Genomic DNA, 24,042 nt, shown 5'->3' on the forward strand with positions numbered 1-24,042 from the left:
AGTGAGTGCTCTGCCGCTATCTGCTTACTGATTTATCTATCCAAAGGGAAAAATATACTCAGCAGTTAGCAGAAATTAACTGGAGAAAAAGGACGAGGTAACATTAGCAGCCACTGGTACTTCCTAGTATACTCAAGATGAATTTCTAAAAGAAATATGAGGGATTTTCAAAAAGTCTATGGAAAATGTGTATTTTGAAAACACTATGCATAGATTTCAAAAATTTTTTTGCACCAAAATAAACTCATACTAGTTTGTTAAAGTATCTGAACAGGATCTAGTTTGAGGCACTCGCAAGATAAGACATCAGTTTGAAAAAAGCCTCTAACAGAGCAACATGAATTCTAAAATCAAAGCAATAACAAACATCAAATTTATGATGAAGCTTGGGTGAAAAAATGGTGAAATCACTGATGCTTTATGGTAAGTTTAAGGGGACAATACCGCAAATAAATCGGCAGTTTACAAATGAATAACCGGTTTTAAGAAGGGATGAGATAATGTTGAAGATGAAGCCTGCAGCGGCAGACCATTTGCATCAATTTGTGTGGAAAAAAAGTTTGCGGCCGGGCATGGTGGCTCACACCTGTAATCCCAGCACTTTGGGAAGCTGAGGCGGGCAGATCACCTGAGGTCGGGAATTCGAGACCAGCCTGACCCACATGGAGAAATCCCGTCTCTAAAAAAATAAAAAATAAAAAATAAATACAAAATTAGCTGGGCGTGGTGGCACATGCCTGTAATCCCAGCTACTCAGGAGGCTGAGGCAGGAGAATCTCTTGAACCCGGGAGGCGGAGGTTGTGCTGAGCCGTGACTGCACCATTGCACTCCAGCCTGCGCAACAAGAGCAAAATTCCATCTCAAAGAAAAAAAAAGTTTGCACCCTAATTGAAGAGGACAGATGACAGCACAAACAACAGCCAACACCACAGACTTCACGACTGGTTCAACTTATGCAATTCCAATTGAAAACTGAAGTTGAGCAAACTTTCCACTCAATGGGTGCCAAAACCATTGTTCCCAGATCAAGACAAGAGCAGAGCTTTCAACGGAAATTTTAAACAGGTACGATCGAGATCCTGAGGCATTTCTTCAAAGGACTGTAACAGGACATAAAACATGGTTCTACAGTATGATCCTGAAGACAAAGCACAATCAAAGCAATAACTACCAAGAGGTGGCAGTGGTCCAGTCAAAGCACTAGTGAACTAGTGAAGAGGAAAGGTCACTGCAACCGTTTTTTGGGATGCTGAGGCATTTTGCTTGTTGACTTTATGGAGAACCAAAGAATGATAACACCTGCTTATTATGAGAGCTAATTTTGAGAAAGTCAGTGAATGCTTTAGCAGGAAAATACCTCAGAAAACTTCACCAAGGAGTCCTTCTCCACCATGTAAATGTTCCTGTTCATTCCTCTCATCAAACGAGGGCAATTTTGTGAAGAGTTTCAGTGGAAACTCATTAGACATCCACCTTATTATCCTTATTTGGCTACTCCTAATTTTTGTTTCTTAATCTTAAAAAGGGCACCCATTTTTCTTCAGTTAATAATGTAAAAAAGATTTCACTGACATGGTTAAATTCCTAAGACCCCTGGTTCTTTGGGGAGCAACTAAATGGCTGATATGATTGTTTACAAAAGTGTCTTGAACTTGATGAAACTTATGTGAGAAATAAAGTTTATATTCTTTATTTTTGTCTTTTAATCTAGTTTTTCTATGAACATGGTGACATTCCCTTGTATAAAAACCTTCTCAAATATATAGAGTGAAGGAAATGCTTCCCTAGTTGATCATGACTTAGTAGATGCATAAACTGGATGTCATTTTGGAGTTTAAATCTGGGAAAAAGCCTTATCCTTAGGCTTCTGACATTTGTGAAAGTAAAATATCAAAATGGTGGATCTGTTCCAAACATGATATAAAGAGCAAAAAATCTGAAAGAAGCCAGAAGACCACAGCTACTGACACAACCTAGCACCCATCAGTCATGTGCCTCTGAGTAAAGTGGTCCGATTTTCTTGAACCTTGGAAAATGAAAGTACTGCCTACTCCAGGCACACAAAGGGCTATCTCAGAGGATCCAACACCCACATAAAGAAAAAGTACTCATGACACTGAAGGCATCATCTCTTCTCTTCATTTTTGCTTTCTTCTCTGAGCTACAGGTTTTGGGATACTTTGCTCTCTGTCACTTCTCCCTGGAGCTACCCTTTGCCAACTCCTCAGGTAGAGGAAGGATAAGGATAACATGCCAACCCTTTCTACAATCCTAATTCACTTCCTCCTGAGTCCCCATCAAAACCAACAAGCATCCACATAACTTAGTAGCATGGTCAAAACTGATATTCTCAAAAAAGAAAGGAAAGTCAAGGGACACCTTTGCTTGTCTTCTTCCTAGACACACTTCCAAAGATAACTAGTATTAGTGAGAGGTGAAGCCAGCTGGACTTCCTGGGTCGAGTGGGGACTTTGAAAACTTTTCTGTCTAGCTAGAGGACTGTAAATGCACCAATCAGTGCTCTGTGTCTATCTAAAGATTGTAAATGCACCAATCAGTGCTCTGTGTCTAGCTAAAGGATTGTAAATGCACCAATCAGCACTCTGTAAAAACGCACTGACCAGTGGTCTGTGTCTAAAGGATTGTAAATGCACCAATCAGCAATCTGTAAAAACACACTAATCAGCACTGTGTCTACCTAAAGGATTGTAAATGCACCAATCAGCACTCTGTAAAATGGACCAATCGGCAGGTCCATTTCTCCAACGTGGGCACGGACAAATGAGGGAATAAAAGCTGGCCACCCGAACCAGCAGCAGCAACCTGCTTGGGTCCCCTTCCATGCTGTGGAAGCTTTGTTCTTTCACTCTTCAAAATAAATCTTGTTGCTGCTCACTTTTTGGGTCCACACCAACTTTAAGAGCTGTAACACTCACCATGAGGGTCTGTGGCTTCATTCCTGAAGTCAGCGAGACCACGAACCCACCGGGAGGAACAAACAACTCTGGATGCGCCACCTTTAAGAGCTGTAACACTCACTGCAAGGTCCGCAGCTTCATTCTTGAAGTCAGTGAGACCAAGAACCCACCAGAAGGAAACGGACACATTACGACTAAGGCCATCCATCCTTTTAAAAAACATGAGAAACACCTACACTTATAGCTGACCAAGAAACACTTTCCTCTGTTAAGAATCACTAACTTCTGTCAGGATAATTTAAATACTCTGTGGATCATAGTCTAACAAGAAACAGAAAAATGTAAATTGAGCAAATTAATCTGAAACTGAACAACTAAAGTAAGTGAATACAGACTTAGGAGTAAACAATATTGTTAAAAATGATTCAAATATGTCTTTAAAAGTTCATTTTTGCAATACCAAGGAAATCTGTATTAAGAAGTCTCCAATACCAACGATATCTGACGAGATATCAAGAACCCGTTAATGTCTTTGGTGAGTTTTAAGGTTATGTTTAAAAGTTCATATTTTTTTCAAAGATTCACAATGACACAGAAGTAAAAGGACATGACTTCTAGGATTTGCTCTATAATAATTCAGCAAGAAAAGATAGATGGATCAATTATGGCCAGACCATGACAATTATTAAACTTGAGTGACGAATTTACAACAATTTACTGTAGTATGATCTCTTTCTTATATGTTTGAAATTTCTCCCAATAAGTTTGTAAAGAAAAACAATAAAGGTATTTTCGATCAAGCACTGGCTTATGTCAGATTTATCAAGGAGTATAGAAAATGCAGAGTATAGAAAATGCATCATTTTACTTTTCCTTAACTTTTGCAATATAGATAACCAGGAATAAAATCAAGAAAACCAAAATGTTTCCATACTCACCTGACAGAAAGATGAGCCTCTGCAGGACAATTATTTGAAAGGCTCAGTTGTATCATTTTGGAAAAAGAATTTGGCAATTATTAGTACTATTCAGAACTAAGAGCAGTCAAGCGCCACCTTGGGATGTGGACATTTACAGAGCATTTTTCCTTTTATCTTAACCAATGCTCCATTTTCACATGGTGCTTTGCAGCCACTGGGGCACACACAGATTGTCCTTATGCACTGGTTTTAGAAAGTTTAAAACACAAAGAAGTGGTGCTGATGTATGCTTTTATCTACCACCACAAAAAAAACTTTACCACTATTAATGGGAAGAGATCAATAATTAATTCCACACCAAAATTAAGTCAAGTTGTTGTGTTAAAAATAAGTTTCTAAGATGCTACTCTACCAAACACCCCAAAAAGCCATGAAAACTATTCTAGGTGGACCACTTCATAATACTTGACAATGTTCCTAGAGTGTTTATGTTGAAGGTGATACAGCAGTAAACAGAGATTATAGGAGCTTGAAATATTTTCATTTTTTAAAAGGTAAAAATACAAATAAATCAGGAAGTAAAGGATACGTATCCCATTCATGCCTGAAATCTTGAAGTCGTCAATGAGCTGGACCACCATGTCTTTGTTTGGGTCACTGGGATCACTTTCTCGAACCTATGCCAAGAAAAATGAATGCAAGAACACAGGAGTTTGAGACAAAGCATGTTTTCCCATTATAACACCAATACTGTTTAAATAAAAGTATATTTTAAAATAAAAAATTCATCACAAAGTTATAAAAAATAAACTTTATTTATTTATTTATTTATTTATTTTTTGAGACAGAGTCTTGCTCTATCGCCCAGTCTGGAGTGCAGTGGTACGATCTCGGCTCACTGCAACCTCTGCCTCCCAGGTTCAAGTGATACTCATGCCTCAGCCTCCCAAGGAGCTGAGATTACAGGTGCCCACCACCATGCCTGGCTATTTTTTATATTTTTAGCAGAGATGGGGTTTCACCGTGTTTGCCAGGCTGGTCTCGAACTCTTGACCTCAAGTGATCTGCTCGCTTTGGCCTCCCAAAGTGCTGAGATTATAGGCATGAGCCACCGTGCCCAGCCAAACTTGACTTTAATTTAGTATTACCCAGAAAAATCTTTCTGTAAAATTTTAAGTCATTAAGTTTTCTTATATCATTCACATTTTTAAAGTACTTACACATTTGAGCAATTTTATTTCATCCAAGGCTGTCTCCGTATAATGCTGGGCACTTTTTACAACTTTCATTGCAACAAATCTTTTCCCCCTAAAAGAAAAAACAAAAAAAGAGTCTATTTATCTATATTATCAGTAGAAAGAATCACTGGTATCCAGGTTGAGCATCCCTAATTGGAAAATGTAAAATCCAAAATGCGCCAAAACCTAAAACATTATGAGTGTGTCAACACGATGCCACAGTGTAAAATTCCACCTCTGACTGCAATCAAAACTCAGTAAAAGATTTGCATGTTGCACAAGATTATTTAAAATATCGTATAAAATTGCCTTCAGGGTATGTGTATATGGTGTATATGAAATATAATGAATTTTGTGTTTAGATCTGGGTCACATCTCCAAGATAGGTCATTGTGTATATACACAAATATTCCAAAATCCAAAACACTTCTGGTCTCAAAGCATTTCAGATAAGGGATATTCAACTTGTAATGAGATCTATCCAATACACAGAAACATAAGCTTTCCTTTAAAATAGTACTTTTCAAATGGTGGGGCCACATTAAATAGTAGTATGGGTCAAGACAATCTCTTTTATGTTTTGTTTTGTTTTTTCCCTAATTAAAATAAGACTAGATAAACATCAGAGTTATCACGAATATTACACACCAACCTAATAGTGAAAACCATTCTCTTTTAACACTTTTGTTTCAGTACACACACACACACACACGCACCAAATGTGTGTGTGTGTGTGTGTGTGTGTGTGTGTGTGTGTATGGAGTAGCAATGAAGTTTCTTACTATGGGTCATGGCTTTGAAAAGTTAAAAATGACTGATTTGAAACGCCTATACTATACATTATGTTTGTCTGATATGGATGAATTACTAGAAAAATAATATAATCCCAGTGTAAAACAATTTCAATGAATTAACTTTGAAATAAAGCTGGAAGCAAGTAATATTTTAAGATTTCAAATGAACTTCAAACTAAGGCAGGGGGCAGGAAGGAATCTAGCCAGCTGAGGCAGGCCTGTGCTAAGCACTTCACATACCTCAACAAAGCAGTGGTGACCCTCAGCCATACCTTCTTAGAACACAGATGTTGAACTACTCCAGGAAACAAATGCACAAATGACAAAGAACACTTACTGCATATCCCAGCACAGCCAGACAGTAGAGAAGTGCCCCCATCCAAGCTTTCTAATAACATGATACCGGCCATTGAAGAGGTCTCCAATTTTCACTGGATGATATCCACCTTAAAAAACAAGAAAGAAAGAAAAAAATTCAAAATATTCGAAAAGTAGTAATAAACATTTCATCTCTTTTGTCATTCTTGATGTCATTAAAGAAAGCTCTACATAATACATGCAGACTAAAACATGTTTAATAATACAACATTTTTTTCAGGAATATCTTTCAACAAGAAAAAGTGTTGGCTGGATGTGGTGGCTTACACCTGTAATCTCAGCACTTTGGGAGGCCAAGGCAGGTGGATCATTTCAGATCAGGAGTACGAGACCAGCCTGGCCAACATGGTGAAATCCAGTCTCTACGAAAAATACAAAAATCAGCAGGGCATGGTGGCGAGCACCTGTAATCCCAGCTACTTAGGAGGCTGAGGGGAGAGAATCACTTGAAACTGGGAGGTGGAGGCTGCAATGAGCCTGAGTGAAAAGTGTGCGACTGCAATCCAGACAGCCTGACCAAAAAGTGTTCTATGAATTCCTATTAGACTTCTTGTTTTAATTTAATTTAAAGAGGCAATGAACCATCTAGCACACCGTAATGATAACTTGAGGTTCTCTATTTACTTATTTATTTTTAAGACAGGGTCTCACTCTGTTGTCTAGACTGGAGTGCAATGGCATGATCTCAGCTCAATGCAACCTCTGATTCCCAGGCTGAAGAGGTCCTCCCACCTCAGCCTCCCAGGTAGCTGGAACTACAGGCACACACCACCATGCCCAGCTAATTTTTGTATTTTTTGTAGGGACAGGGTTTCACCACATTACCCAGGTTGGTCTTGAACTCCTAGGCTCAAACAATCCGCACATCTCCCCTCCCAAAGTGCTGGGATTATAGGCATGAGCCACCACACCTGGCCAAGGTTCTGTATTTCAATCTAGGTGTGTACGTTATGCACATACCAGCTCTTGGTATTTAAAGACTTTTTTTCTCCTAAACAAGTTAAATTCAAATCTTTTTGGATATGTGCAAGAAAACTGACCAAAATAAACAATGTTTACTCTGTATAATTCTGCATACATTAATGGTTTATTAATAACTAGAAACTGTACAATGATGTCTTAATTTACCCTCTAACAGGGCTTGTTCCTCTCATCACTCTTCTGCCAACTCCTAACTCCTGCCTGGAAACATTCCTCACAAATGAAGAAATGAGGCCGGGCACGGTGGCTCACACCTGTAATCCCAGCACTTTGGGAGGCCAAGGCGGGCAGATCACCTGAGGTCTGGAGTTCAAGACCAGCCTGGCCAACACGGTGAAACCCCATCTCTACTAAAAATACAAAAAATTAGTCAGGTGTGCTGGCGAACTCCTGTAATCCCAGCTACTCGGGAGGCTGATGAAGAAGAATTGCTTGAACCCAGGAAGCAGAGGTTACAGTGAGCCAAGATCAAGCCACTGCACTCCAGCCTGGGTTACAGAGTGAGACTCCACCAAGAAAGACAAGAAAGACAAGAAAGAAAGAAAAGGAAAGAAAGGGAAGAAAGGGAGGAAGGAAGGAAGGAAGGAAGGAAGGAAGGAAGGACGGGAGGGAGGGAGGGAGGGAGGGAGAGAGAGAGGGAGAGAAAGAGAAAGAAAGGAAGAAAGAAAGAAAGAAAGAAAGAAAGAAAGAAAGAAAGAAAGAAAGAAAGAAAGAAAGAAAGAAAGAAAGAAAGAAAGGAGAAAGAAAAAGAAAAAGGAAAGAAAGAAAGAAAGAAAGAAAGAAAGAAAGAGAAAGAAAGAGAAAGAAAGAAAGAAAGAGAAAGAAAGAAAGAAAGAGAGGAAGGAAGGAAGGAAGGAAGGAAAGGCAGGCAAGGAAAAGAAAAAAGAAAAGAAAGAAAGGGGAGGGGAGGGGAGGGGACGGGAAGGGAGAGGAAGAAATCAGCTATAGAGGGCACCCTATTAAGGTAGATTCTTGAGGGCAAGTAGGGTGCCTCACTGATATCTGGCATGAGAAGTTCTTCACTTCGCATTTTTAAGCAGAATAAGCAAGCTACAAACTAGCATGGATAATATGGTACACTTTTTGTGAAATACGGAGGATAAGATGTTAGGAATGGACATTCCTGGGTATAAAATTACTCTTAAGTCTCTTTATCTACATTTTATTCTTTTTATCTATGCTTTTTCAATTTCTTCAATTTTTCTAAAACAATATTTTACTACTTTTTTACTTTGGAAACAGATTTTTCATTCTTTTAACATTTGCTTTTTTATTGTAAAGATGTTATTTCTTTTTTAATCTGCAGAATTCTTACAAATTACTCAATAAAGATGTGGATGGCTTGTGCCTAGTCTTAAGAGCTCTAGAGCAGTTATAGGAAGTATCTAACCAGATCCTTCAATATATTCCCAGAGGGCTCTCAATAATACTTCAAGAATATATTTCTGAACATTTAAATTGTGTTGGATTAGTGAAGCAGGAATCTGACCAGATACTGAGTTCGTGAGATTCTTACCCTTCTACTGCCTCTGCACTTGCTTGTCCTGGATTTGAATCTCAAGGTGTATGACAACATTTTGGGCTAAATATATGAACTAAATGATAGTGAATTAGGAATAAAATGTAGCAAATTATTAAATGGCTTACTACTTAGAAGATTAAACTAAAATTAATTAAAAGAAATGAGCTCTGAGTTTATAATACAGTTATTTATTTATTTATTTATTTATATTTTTTGAGACCGAGTTTCGCTGTTACCCAGGCTAGAGTGCACTGGCCATCTCGGCTCACTGCAACCTCCACCTCCTGGGTTCAAGCCATTCTCCTGCCTCAGCCTCCCATGTAGCTGGGATTACAGGCTTGCACCACCACACCTGGCTAATTTTTGCGTTTTTAGTAGAGACAGGGTTTTGCCATGTTGGTCAGGCTGGTCTCTAACTCTTGACCTCAGGTGATCCACCCACCTTGGCCTCCCAAAATGCTGGGATTACAGGCATGAGCCACTGCGCCCAGCCTACAATACAGTTTTCAAACCATTAAAATTAACATTCAAAGCAGGAAATGAAACAGTTTATCCAGTATAATTAGGAACACTGTGCGAGGCACTTTATTTTCAAAACTATGTTCCATGAAACAAAAATAAACTATAATATACTGCAGGTGTTCAATAGAGGAGCAGGGGAGTAGGAAGGAAGAAGGGAGAAGTTCTGTTTGAGAAACGCAGTGTTGAACAAAGAAAAGCAGATTTCTTGACCATAGGCCTAATGTTTTAATACAGAGTGAGAACCTTTAAGAGAACAGAAAATGCTGCATATTCCTGACATACGTGTTCATGGAATTATTTCTTCAGAGACCTAGTTACATTTTATAACACAAGTATTTAGGAAAGACTGATCTACCATAATTCTTGAAACCACCATACAAAGTAGATGGTATTATTTCTACAATGCTACAGAGAACACCAAGTATCATAGATTATGAAGTACTAGGTTCACGGCTGGAAACTAGGTATGACTCCAAAACCCATGTTTTATCAACTAGTAAGAAATACACTCCAATTTTAATAACTAGAGGACTGCTTCCTGGTCTTAGTACACAGAAAACATGGGATGTCTTAATTAAAATCTATATACTACTTAAACGTACATTATTGCTAATATTTGTCACTAAATTTAAAAATAATTTATGCATAAAAAGAAACCTGTATCACTAGTATATGTTTCAGATTCAAATTCTCAATTAGCCGAAGTGTATACATGTGAGCAAAAACAGAAGAGCACTATTTCCAATGTAATCACAGTGTAAGCATAGCAGCTCCTTTTCTCAAGGGCTTTGAAAGCTAACAACAACAAAATTACTACTGGAGTAAAGTATCCCTGAAGCCCTCAGTCTAGCTAAAAATATTATCTCTATAAAAAGGCAAATTACACAAGAGGGGCATTTTTTTTTTAAAGAGATGCGGGCTAGCTCTGTCACCCAGGCTGGAGTGCAGTAGAGCAGCACGAACAGGGCTTACTACATCCTTGAACTCCTGGGTTCAAGCAATCTTCTCAACTCAGCCTCCAAGAAGTACATGCCACCATGCCTGGCTAGTAATAGTATTTTTAAAACAACTGAAAGTATAACGCACTTAACTTACTTCTATTTTGAAAACGTGATATACACAATTTCAAGTCTATGTATATTCTCATATTGTAACTCCTGGTTTCCTACACAATCAAGTATCTTCTGACCATTCATTTTTCATTCCCTTCTCACAGAATGGCAGCCTTGCTCACAGGGCATCTCCTCTAACACCCATGCTGCCAGAAGAGTGGTCTCTGTCCCCGTGCACCAGACCACACTAACCTAATACCCAGGGAATCTGAAAAAATGAACACTCCAGTAACTCCACCAGAAATGACCCCAATTCCCTGGGCTTAGTTAACTATGTGCACCATAATGGCTATTAGCAATGGAACCCCATGGTCTACCACATTGCCCAGCACACAAGAAAACAAGTACAGTCACTAGACAAAGACTCAAACTTTATTCAGTTTGCTGCTTCACCAGAGAACAGAAAAGGAGTATGGGACAATAACACTGCTATGGACCCTGCTAATAGCATTAGGCAGGGTGCCAGAAAGCCTCAGGCACTTGAAGATCACCATGACTTAAGAGTTTGGTTGATAACACCTGTACACTTCACTATTTGTACTATTTAATATAAAAACCATGCATTTATCAAATAGTTGTGTGTTGGTGTTTTTTTTTTTTTTTTTGGCTGCTTAAAAAAACAAATCTTAGCCGGGTGCAGTGGCTCACACCTGTAATCCTAGCACTTTGGAAGGCTGAGGCAGGTGGATTGTTTGAGCCCAAGAGTTCGACACCAGCCTGGGCAGTACAGTGAGACCCTGTCTCTAATAAAAAAAAAAAAAAACTCTTATCGGATTACAAACACAAAGAGAACAAGAACAAACTGTTAAGTAACCATTAAATTCATTGCTCTGGTTTCTTCTACTTCCATGCCTCTAGCACAGCCAAGATTTCTGTAACTAAAACTCTACCTATGCTAATAAGAAGACTCCAAAGAAGAAAATTTTAAAACTCTCCTTTTTACCTATTTGGGAGACTTACTGGCCAAAGATAAAGGTTCCCTTTTCCTTGCCTAGCAAAAATAGATTCTATTTATGGAGTTAACCAGAAGTTCAGAACTCCATGACAATGTTCTGGAAGTATTTTCAACAAAGTCTCTTTATTTTCTTAATAAAGATAATATTAAGTATTACCTGAGTTCCGCTGAGAATGCTTTCTCAGCCCTCTGATTGTGGGGTTTCTCTACATAACCACTGAAAACTTTCAAAGGACTAGGGAAAGCTGAGAATCACCCCCAACACACACAATGATTAAAAAAAGGAAGGGGTGGAAAAAAGAAATTTGTTCACAGTAACATAACATAAAGACACATTCTGTGTCACTGAAGATTTTAATATTTCCTTCCCCCAAAACTGATAAAAGCAAGCAGACATAAAATCAGTAAGGATATGGAAGATTTGAACACACTATCAACCAGCTTGACCTAATTACCATTTATAGATCACTACACTCAACAACAAATACTCTTTTCAAGGGCACACAAAACATTTACCAAGATATATAATGTACTAGACCATAAAACAAGTCTCAATAGAAATAAGAGGATTCGGCTGGGCATGGTGGCTCATGCCTGTAATCACAACAATTTGGGAGGCCGAGGCAGGTGGATCACCTGAAGTCAGGAATTCAAGACCAGCCTGGCTAATGTGACAAAAACGCCTCTCTTACTAAAAATACAAAAATTAGCTGGGCGTGGTGGTGCACGCCTGTAGTCCCAGCTATTTGGGATGATGAGGCAGAATCTCTTGAACCCAGGAGGCAGAGGTTGCGGAGTCGAGATCACACCACTGCACTGCAGCCTGGGCCACAGAGTTAAACTCCGTTTCAAAAAAAAAAAAAGAAAGAAAGAAGAGGATTCAAATCACACAAAGTATGTCCTCAGACCATAACAGAATTAAATTACAAACCAAGAAGAGAAAATACTCAGAAATTTGGAAACTAAGTAACACAATTCAAAAATAACCCATGGGATAAAGAAGAAATCAAAAAGAAAATAGCAAGTATTTCTTACATTAAGTGAAAATGAAAACTTAATATATCAGAATCTATGAAATGCTGTTAAAGCAAACTCAGAGGGAAATTTATAGCACTAAATGCCTATACCAGAAAAGATCTCAAAAAAGTAATCTTAGTTTCCACCTTAGAAAACTAAAAAAATAGCAAACTTAACCCAAAGCAAACGGAAGAATGAAAATATAATAATAATATGAACTATAAATAAGTAAAACAAAAAAGCATAAGAACAGTCGAGAAAATCAGTGAAAACAAAAGCTGGTTCTTTAAGAAAATAAAAGCAATTAACAAATTTCGGGCCAGGCAGATTGGGCAGTGAGAGAAAACACAAATTACCATCATGAGCAATGAGTGAGGTAATGTCACTATGTATTTTTGAGGTATTAAAAAGATAGAAGGGAATATTATCATGTTATACCTATACATGTGAAAACTTAGATAAAATGGACAAATACCTGAAAAGTCACAAACCACTCAAGGTCCAAACAGAAAAAAAAATCTGAAAAACCATGTATCTATTTTAAAAAATGAATTTATTGTTCAAAATCTTCCCATAAAAAATGCATTGGTATATTTTATCTTGATATTATGAAAAAAATACTACAAATTCCTCCTAAAAAGTAAAAAAAGAGGAAATACTTCCAGTTTTGATCCTATGAAGCCAGCATTTTTTATTCCAAAGCCAGGCAAAGACATTATAAGAAAACTGCAGACCAATTTTCCTCATAATGTGGATACAAACGTTCCAGACAAACGTTCAACAAATCAAATCAAATAATATATCAAAAGGATAAAACATCATGATCAAATGGGGTTTATTCCAGGAACACAAACTTGGGTCAGTATTCAAAATCCAACTGATGTAATTCATCATAATTAATATGCTAAAAAAGAAAATCTATATGATGAGCACATCAGACACAGAAAATCATCTGACAATATGAAACATTCATTCTTGATCACAATTCTCAATGAAGCAGGAATAGAGGAACATCAATGAAAAGCCCACAGATAACATCAGATTTAACTATTAAAGACCAAATGCTTTCCCCCTAATATCAGAAACAAGATAAGGATGTCTGCTCTCCCCATTTCTAGTCTGCTGTTTTGGAAGCTCTAACTAGTACAGTCATGCAAAATAAATAAAAAGGCATCACTGCTGGAAAAAAAAGAAATAAAATTTATCTTTATTCACAGACAAGCCACAGAGATGTATGTGGTTTTGCATATATGTGTGTGTGTGTGTGTGTGTGTATGTATATATGTGTGTGTGTGTGTGTGTGTATACGTGTGTGTATATATATATATGCACAGTGGCATATGGTTTTACATACATATATATAGATGTATGCATGTGTGTGTGTACATATATATGTATGTGTATGTGTGTGTGTGTGTGTATGTATGTATGTATGTGTGTATATGTGTGTGTGTGTGTGTGTGTGTGTATATATATATATACCACGCCTGGCTAATTTTTGTATTTTTAGTAGAGACAGGGTTTCACCATGTTGGCCAGGCTGTTCTTGAACTCTTGACCTCAGGTGATCCGCCTGCCCCGGCCTCCCAAAGTGCTGGGATTACAGGCGCAAGCCATCATGCCCTGCCTAGTCATATATTTTCTTGAGTGAAGTAAGAATCTGTTCAATGATTTTGATCACTTTTCTAATGGACTGTCATTTTCTTATCACTGTAGATATTCCGTATACATGTTAATACCTTCTTGGTTATACATGCTGCAATTCCGCTAATATTAACCACTTCCAAAAAGTACCTGGTAATTGTCAGGAAAGTGATTAAATCAGGAAAAAAAAACACATAAAAAAGAGCTGGTAAAGTGAAAATAAAAACATGATATGCAGAGATATCAATGAAACCTTTTGATGACTTGCTTTTTTTAAAAGCACTGAGAATAGACGGCATGACTTGCTATTATGTATGCACTAACCACCACTTTTCTTCACTGAAAAAAAAATTATTTAGAACATATGCAACCAATCTTTTTACTTCAATGAAAGGATATCTTTAGATTATTAAGATGTGTGATACAATGTAAGGACACAAAGGACTGCAAGAAAATCTTAAAACCTTAGCATATTTGTTGTCAATGATGTTCTTATGAATATTATTGAAATATCTCATTTACAAGATAAAACAAATAGGTAAATGTCATTTAAAAACCAAGATTTTCAACATAAAAGAGTTAAAATGTAAGTTTTTAAAAACAGTACAAATGATGTGTCAATGGAGGTTTACCAATTCTAACAAATGTACTACTCTGAAGGAGGATGCTCATCCTGGGGGCGGCTATGCATGCGTCAGGGCAGGGAGTTCATAGGTTATCACTGTGCTTTCAATTTTGCAGTGAACCTAAAACTGCTCTTAAAAAAACAAAAACAAAAACAGAAAAAACAGGCTAGGCACGGTGGCTCACGCCTGTAATCCTAGCACTTTGGGAGGCCGAGACGGGCGGATCACAAGATCAGGAGATCGAGACCACCCTGGCTAACACGGTGAAACCTCATCTCTACTAAAAATACAAAAAAAAATTAGCCAGGTGGGCATAGTGGCGGGCGCCTGTAGTCCCAGCTACTCGGGAGGCTGAGGCAGGAGAACGGCGTGAACCCGGAAGGTGGAGCTTGCAGTGAGCTGAGATCGCACCACTGCACTCCAGCCTGGGCGACTGAGCGAGACTCCGTCTCAAAAAAAAAAAAAAAAAAAAATTCACAACACATTCTTCCTAAGATTTGACAGTCACATTCCCTGAGCTGTGAAGAAAATGCCTGTAGGTGATATCAATAAAAATGTTTCAATCTAAGAAAACACTACTTTCCTCATCAGTAATTTAAAGCACAATTTAAATTACATTCACCACAGCAAAAACACTAATAATAATAATACTAAATATAAAAAAAGCATCAAGACTAAGGACGTTTTTAAAAGCACTTAGTAGCAACCAAAAATATAAACAATAATGAAGCCTCTGGCACAACCATTAAACTCCCTTGAAACTGGAAGAAATTCAAAAGCAGTCAATCAGAGAAGCCATTGTTATTTAAGAACTCTTGAATACAAGTCAATCTCTGTTATTACAGTCAAATATTTCCTATAACAGTAATGAATGGGAGACTGCTCTAGAGGAAAAACCAGAGCAAAGGCTAATATTCCAAAAGACACGGGAGGATTCCTACTTATCTACAACCTAAAAAAGTAACAACAGGCTGGGCATGGTGGCTCACGCCGCTGATAATCACACATGAGGCAGGAGGATCACTTGAAGCCAGGAGTTCGAGACTAGCCTGGGCAAAAGAGTGAGAGTCCCCCATCATTCCAAAATTTAAAAAATTTTGCTGGGCATGGTGGCGCATGCGTATGATCCCAGCTACTCCGAAGGATCACTTGGGTCCAGGAGGTCGAAGCTGCAATGAGTAGTGATGACACCACTGCACTCCAACCTGGGAGACAAAGTAAGGCCCTCTCTCAAAACAAAACAAAAAAAACAAGTAACAACAAAAATTACTTAAGGGTAAGATAAATATAAATGAAAACACTATTTTCCTCATTAGTAATTTAAACCACAATTTAAATTACATTCACCACAGAAGAAACACTAATAATAATAATACTATCAAAAATTATGCTGTGGTGAATGTAAATTGTGCTTTAAATTACTAATAAGGAAAATAGTGTTTTCTTTTTATAAAATATAAAAATATAAATGGATTCAGAAACCATTTTTGCAGTGAAATCACACAGATTAAAGGTCAGTCCGTTGATTGAGCAACCCTGAATACCTAAAATGTTCATGTCAAGGCCAACACATAATTCTAAACCCCTGCCTACTACCAATTACTTAACAGATATTTATGCTTGAATTCAGGGATGTCGATTTGAATATCAGCATTGGCATTTACTACTATAACATTAAGCCAGTTACTTAACCTGTGTCAGCACTTGCCCCAGCTACCTCACTCAAAACTATACCTGGGTATATATTATGTGCCACGTTAGTGTTTACTGTTCTGCCAGTACTCTAACCCACTGTGACTAATGACAGATTAACAAATGAGCAGGTCAGAGTTAAGAGTATTGTCTATGGCTATTTAAAACTGTAAAACTAACTGGCCCAAAGCATAATCCGATTCACTACAGTAGCCCAAATAGCAATTCAGGTATGATAATTTACAGCTGGTAAATGTCACTTAAAAAATTAAAAGACCAGGGATGGTGGCTAATGTCTGTAATCCGAGCACTTTGGGAGGCTGAGGCAGGCGGATCCCTTGAGGTCAGGAGTTTGAGACCAGCCTGGCCATCATGGTGAAACCGCATCTCCACTAAAAATACAAAGATTAGCCGGGTGTGGTGGCGCATGCCTTTAATCCTAGCTACTGGGGAGGCTGAGGCAGGAGAATCACTTGAACCCAGGAGGCAGAGGTTGCAGTGAGCTGAGATTGCGCCATTGCACTCCAGCCTGGGCAACACAGTAAGAGTCCATCTCAAAAAAAAAAAAAAAAAAAAAAAAGAATAAAATATCTTGGAGTACAGCTAACCAGGGAAGTGAAAGATCTCTACAATAAGAATTACAAAACACTCTCAAAGAAATCAGAGATGATACAAATGGAAAAACAGTCCATGCCCATGGACAGGAAAAATCAATATTGTTAAAACAGCTATACTGCCTGAAACAATTTACAGATTCAATGCTATTCCTATCAAACTATAAATGGCATTCTTCACAGAATTAGAAAGATCTTAAAGTCCATAAGGAACCAAAAAAGCCCAAATAGCCAAGGCAATCCTAAGCAAAAAGAACAAAGCAGGAAGAATCACGTTACCTGATGTCAAAGTATACTAAAAGGTGACAGTAACCAAAACAGCATGGCACTGATGCAAAAACAAACACAAAGACCAATGGAACAGAGTAGAGAGCCCAAAAATAATGCCACACACCTACAACCAGCTGATCTTTGACAAAGCTGACAGAAACAAGCAATGGGGAATGGACTTCCTAGTCCATAAGTGGTGCTAGAATTACTTGCTAGCCATATGCAGAAGACTGAAACCGCACCCCTTCCTTACACCATATACAAAAATCAAGATGGATTAAGAGTTAAATGTACAACCTAAAACTATAAAAACCCTGGAAAGGCTGGGTGCAGTGGCTCACGTCTCTAATCCTAACACTTTGGGGGACCAAGGCAGGCAGATCACTTGAGGTTGGGAGTTCGAGACCAGTCTGGCCAACATGGTGAAACCCTGTCTCTACTAAAAAAATACAAAAATTAGCCAGGTGTGGTGGCGCATGCCTTTAATCCCAGCTACTGGGGAGGCTGAGGCAGGAGAATCACTTTAACCCGGGAGATGAAGGTTGCAGTGAGCCGAGATGGTGCCACTGCACTCCAGCCTGGGTGACACAGCAAGACTTTGTCTCAACAACAACAAGAAAAAATAAAAGCCTGGAAGATAATCTAGGAAATACCATTCTGGACATAGGACCTGGCAAAGATTTCATGATGAAAATGTCAAAAGCAATTGCAACAAAACCAAAAACTGACAAAGGGAACCTAAGAACTTCCTGAACAGCAAAATAAACTATCAACAGAGTAAACAACCTACAGGATGGCAGAAATATTTACAAACAAAGCATCTGACAAAGGTATAATATCCAGAATCTACACAGAACTTAAACACATATACAAGCAAAAAACCACCCCATTAAAGAGTGTGCAAAGGACATGAATAGACATTTTCAAAAGAAGACGTACATGCGGCCAATAAGCATATAAAAACCTGCTCAACATCACTAATCATTAGAGAAATGCAAATTGAAACCACGATGAAACACCATCTCACACCAGTCAGAATGGCTACTAAAAAGTCACAAAATTAACAGATGTTGTCAAGGTTGTGGAGAAAAGGGAATGCTTATACTCTGCAGGTGGGAGTGTAAATTAGTTCAGCCATTGTGGAAATCAGTATGGCAATTCCTCAAGGAAATTTAAACAGAGTTATCATTCGACCCAGCAATTCCTTATTGTGTATACACCGAAAGGAATATAAACTGTTCTACTGTAAAGACACACGCACGCACGTGTATGTTCACTGCGACACTATTCCCAATGACAAAGGCATGGAAGCAATGCTCATCAACAGTAGACTGGATAAAGAAACCGTGGTACACATATACCATGGAATACTATGTAGCTATAAAAAAAGAACAAGATCATGTCCGCTGCAGGAACATGGATGGAGCTGGAGGCCATTCATTACCCTTGGCAAACTAACACAGGAGCAGAAACCAAATACCTCATGTTCCCATGTATAAGTGGGAAGTAAACAATGAGAACACAAAGACACAAAGAGGGGAACAACAGACACTGGGGCATACTTGAGGATGGAGGGTGGAAGAACAGAGAGAATTAGAAAAAACATCTATAGGGCACTATGCTTATTACCTGGGTGATGAAATAATCTATACACCAAATCCCCGTGACACACAGTTTACCTACATAACACATGTGCACATACATGTACCCCTGAACCTAAGATAAAAGTAAAAAAAAAAAAAAACAGAAAACACACACACAAAAACCAAATGTAGGCTAAAATTCAACTGAGATGGCCAGGCGCGGGGGCTCACGCCTGTAATCCCAGCACTTTCGGGGGCCAAGGCGGGTGGATCACTTGAGGTCAGGAGTTCAAGACCAGCCTGGCCAGCATGATGAAACCCCAACTCTACTAAAAATACAAAAAAATTAGCCAAGCGTGGTGGCAGGCACCTGTAATCCCAGCTATTCAGGAGGCTGAGGCAGGAGAATCGCTTGAACCCAGGAGGTGGAGGTTGCAGTGAGCCAAGATCACACCACTGCACTCCAGCCTGGGCAACAAGTGCAAGACTCTGTCTCAAAAAAAAAAAAAAAAAAAAAATTCAACCGTATACTCTAACAGCAAAAAAGAGGAAAGCCCTGACGTAAAAAAGGATAGCATGACGACAAGCACAGCAGTTTAAGGTGAAATAAATTAACTATGTTTGAGGCTGAGAAAGAAAACAAGAATGGTACATTGAATCAGACTTTGAAGAGCCTTGAGATTTGTGCAAAACTTGTGACTTTGTTTCCCCCCCCGCCTTTTTTTTTTTTTTTTGAGATGGAGTCTCACCCTGCTGCCCAGACTGAAGTGCAGCGGCACAATCTCAGCTCACTGCAACCTCCACCTCCTGGGTTCAAGCAACTCTTGTGTCTCAGTCTCCCAAGTAGCTGGAATTACAGATGTGCACCAACATGCCCGGCTAATTTTTGTGTTTTTTATTTATTTATTTTTAAGTAGAGATGGGATTTGGCCATGTTGGCCAGGCTGGTCTCAAACTCCTAGCCTCAAGCAATCCACCTGCCTTGGCCTCCCAAAGTGCTGGGATTACAGGCGTGAGCCACAGTGCCTGGCAAGTTTTGACTTTGTTACTTGTAAGGAAAAAATTAACAAAGTATTTATTAGAAGATTTCCCCTTATCTCTTATGACCAGAAGGAGGGAAAGTAAACTACTAATCTAAATATATCCCAAGTAGTATCATATAAAACACTACGAAGACAACTGTATAGGGGAAAAAAAAATCATATTTCTATTACAATGTAAAATTAAAATGTGTAGTACTCAAGGCAAACTAGTAAGAAAGACTGAGCTGTGATAGTATTTACAAGATCCTGAGCCAAGCTATCACGGGATCCACAAACATTTATGAAGTTAAAGTTCACTAAAAGCTCCATACATTTACAAAGCTGGAATCAAATTCTAGACAAAGAAAATTATTTAAATACAAATAAGGATCTCTTATGTTTTTATGACTAATCATCTTTTTTTGTCATTTTAGTGCTATAAGTTTGTAGCTGTGTAAAAAATTTTCTTCAATATACTGATACTGATTTTTCAGAAAAAACCCTAGAGAATAAGAGCTCACAATGCAAAGTCACATTACTATACAAGCCAATAACTAAAATCCTAATCTACATTCTAGTCTAGAACACTCCAGAACCATGTCTCAATACCAAGAGTACTTTAGAACACAATTTTAAATGCACTTGGGGATCAGCAGGAATCCTACAACTGCACAATGGTTAACATATCAGATCGTAAATGGCTAGCGGGTTTTTTTTGTTTGTTTGTTTGTCTATTTTTGTTTTTTTGAGACAGAGTCTCACTCTGTTGCCCAGGCTGGAGTGCAGTGGCATGATCCCAGATCACTGCAATCTCCACCTCCTAGGTTCAAGCCATTATCCTGCCTCAGCCTCCAGAGTAGCTAGGAGTACAGGCATGTGCCACCACACCTGGCTAATTTTTTTGTATTTTTAGTAAAGATGGGGTTTTCACCATGTTAGTCAGGCTGGTCTACAATTCCTGACCTCAAATGATCTGCCCACCTTGGCCTCCCAAACTGCTAGGGTTACAGGTGTGAGCCACCACGCCCTGCGTGGCTGTTTTTAAGAGGCCATGTCTAGAGATTTACTTGACTCTGTAATTTGGGAAACAAGCTGTTTTTTCTCATACACACAAATACAACTAAGTGTTCAACTTCGCTGAATGTATTTTAAGTATACTGATACCCTGTAAATCTCAGATTCCATAACTAAAAAGAGTTAACGTACACTATTACCAATTTTTTTTTTTTTTTTTTTTTGAGATGGAGTCTCTCTGTTGTGCAGGCTGGAGTGTAGTGGCATGATCCCAGCTCACTGCAACCTCCGCCTCCCAGGTTCAAGCCATTCTCCTGCCTCAGCCTCCGGAGTAGCTGGGAGTACAGGAATGTGCCACCACACCTGGCTAATTTTTTTTGTATTTTTAGTAGAGACGGGGTTTTACTATGTTGGTCAGGCTGGTCTCGAACTCCTGACCTCAAATGATCTGCCCACCTTGGCCTCTCAAAGTGCTGGGATTATAGGAGTGAGCCACCACACCTGGTCTATTACTAATATTTTTCCTTTATTTCTTACATACATAATGCCAGACACAGCTATTTCTCTCTTTAGGATACCTTGACAGAATAATCCAAACCACTGTTACAAAATATATGTTGTTATAAAATTTACCCTTAAATTTCTATGGAAACCAAATACACGATCTTTCAAGTCCATTTAACTGTCTAGTTAAGACGCTTAATAGTATTCTATAAGCTAAGTGTCCCAGAGGAATGCTACAGATTTGATTTTTCAGGTATACTTTGTATTTTAATGAAAGCAGTCTGTATGTCTATACAGGCCTCTTCCTTGATTTAGGTTGCTAGAAGCTTTTAACTTCAGTGTTCAAAAGAACAATATTCCCTCAGTGCTTAAATGTATATAACAGTTTGTATGAGATTTGTATAATGAAGGTCAGTTTGGCTGGATGTAAAATATTTGACTGACATTTTCTTTCCTTGAGTATGTTAAATGTACTTCTCTAGTGTCTTCTGGCCTAACATTTTGCTGCAAAAATACTTAATAACAATCTGGTTATCCCCTAATAAGTCATGTGGTCTTTCCATCTAAGAATTTTACCACTTTATCTAGGCTGCAATGTTTATTGGGACTTTATGATAGTTTTTATATATTATTTCTAATTCCTTCTTATTCTTAACCTTCTCCTTGTTTCATGGGCAAAGGAGGAGTAGACATTCTATGAGATCATTAAAAGGACTTTCCTCCAGAATAAAGAACATGAGCTTGAGTACATGAACTTTAGTACGTGAACTTGGACATTGTTTGTATCTGTTCAAAAACTTTGGGCTCATTTCTCGGTTCTTAATTATGTTTCAGATAAATAAATGTATAATATATTGAATTATGAACTGAAGAAACATAACTGATCTTAGAATGAGAAAGTCTTAGCTGAGTCAAAGTAGAATTCAGAAATCAGAATCCACTTAAGACATGAGATTTCTTTTAAAAGAAAAAATTAAAAAAAGAGAAAAAGAAATAAGATTTATATCTAAAAGAAAAAATTCTTAGTAACTAAAAAAATTTAACAATTAAAATAACTCAGAAAACAGCTCTCTGGCTGTTTAAAACTAAAAGCCCTAATTATCCACATTCCAACCTCAAAATATAACTAAAAAATTAAGTTCCTTCCAAAGGTTAGGACCTATTTCAGGCTCCTGCTGTTCATGGAGTGCAAGGGTATATATTATAGCACATATCCATGTCTGACTCATAACTGAAGACATGTTCCCAGGTGTATGTTACGTTCTCTTGTCAAAAAATAATAATAATAATACACTGTAAATAATCTAAATTCTAAACTACTCTAATGAAATTCTTAATTATTCTAAAAAATGAGAAAGAGAAAAAAGGTCTTAGAGACAAACTGACTACAAAAAGAATAAGTAAAAGGTCTCTATGTGGAAAACAAAACTGATTTTTGAGCCTCACTCGAAAGCCCCACCTAGTTTTATAATCCAAGAATAATTCATGCTTTCCAGTTTAATCACCATCAAAAAGTCTAACTCATGCACCAACTTGTACATACTCCTTTGTTAGGCACCCAACATAGCAATTTAGACATACTTAGTAGACTCTAGGCTTAGAAGGCTTATAATCCATGCCAGACAAAAAGAGAATTAGATAAATACATGTCCTAAAAAAGGGGGTTAGTTTACTGTACCTACATAACTATAACTACATATATTTGGAAGTCTGCATCTTTTTATAGATTTTATTCCCCTAGAATGTTCTGGGCTATGGGACGAATATGTCTTTATCAGTCAACTTTAGGTTTAATGTCTGCAAAATAAAGGTTTCATCTTGATTTATATAAGGTATTTTCAAACTACACAAATCTCTATTTCTATGAATGTTGTATCATTTGACAGTAGGAAGAATGCCCTTGCTTATAGGTTTTTACTTTTTAAATTTTATTTTAGATTCAGGGAGTACATGTGCAGGTTTGTTATGTGTATATATTACACAATGGTGGGGTTTGGGCTTCCGGTATACCCATCAACCAAATAGTGACCATTATACCCAATAGGTAATTATCAAGCCACACCACCCTCCCAACTTTGCCCCTTTTGGAGTCCTCAGTGTCTATTGTTTCCATCTTTAAGTCCATGTGTGCCCATTGTTTAGTTCCCACTTACAAGAAAGAACATGCAGTAGCTGATTTTCAGTTTCTAAGTTTTTTCACTTAAAATAATGGCCTCCAGCTTCATCCATGTTGCTGCAAAGGAAATCATTTCATTCTCTATGGCTGCTTTATTGATTTCTTGTTGCTGTATTCTGACGGACTGTGTTCTTCAACAAAGGCCGAAACAGTATCTCCCCAACTACCTGCTCTTCTACTATCCCTTCTACTCTGATGTTCTACTATCAAGAAATGGACTCTAATCATGAAACTGAATGAGCGTCTGATGTGCTTCTAACCAAAAAGAATATAGTGGATGAGACTGTGTGACTTTTGAGGCTAGGTCATAAAAGGAACACAGCTTCCACTCTGGAAGGTGTGTGTTACCTTTGGGAACTCTAAGTTGCCAGGTAGGAAGTATGACTGCTCTGAGGCCACCATGCTCTGAGAAAGCCAAGCCATATGCAAAGGGCATGGATAGGTGCTCCATAAGGCTGTCCTAGTTGTTTATCTTTCTAGCCCAGGGGCCAGATGTAAGCTTTCAGTTAATTCTAGTCCCCAGCCATGAAGCCACATCA

At 38.1% G+C, this 24,042-nt stretch overlaps 1 protein-coding gene across 34 annotated transcripts in view; it reads right to left on the minus strand.

Moving 5' to 3' along the window:
• Positions 1–24,042, minus strand: part of SRPK2 (SRSF protein kinase 2) — a 284,618-nt gene that overhangs the window by 48,209 nt on the left and 212,367 nt on the right. For all 34 annotated transcript variants that reach the window (XR_007060151.1, XR_007060150.1, XR_007060147.1 and 31 more), the window contains 3 exons: positions 6,209–6,317; positions 5,060–5,147; positions 4,429–4,516 (listed from right to left, as the gene is read on the minus strand). Coding sequence is in view for 24 of the 34 variants with exons in the window: in XM_011516536.4 (XP_011514838.1) it covers positions 4,429–4,516; positions 5,060–5,147; positions 6,209–6,317 (285 nt within the window). In the remaining 10 variants the exon portion in view is untranslated. The remainder of the gene's footprint in view (positions 1–4,428; positions 4,517–5,059; positions 5,148–6,208; positions 6,318–24,042) is intronic.

Source organism: Homo sapiens, chromosome 7 (assembly GCF_000001405.40).
Source record: "Homo sapiens chromosome 7, GRCh38.p14 Primary Assembly".
Lineage (NCBI taxonomy): Eukaryota > Metazoa > Chordata > Mammalia > Primates > Hominidae > Homo > Homo sapiens.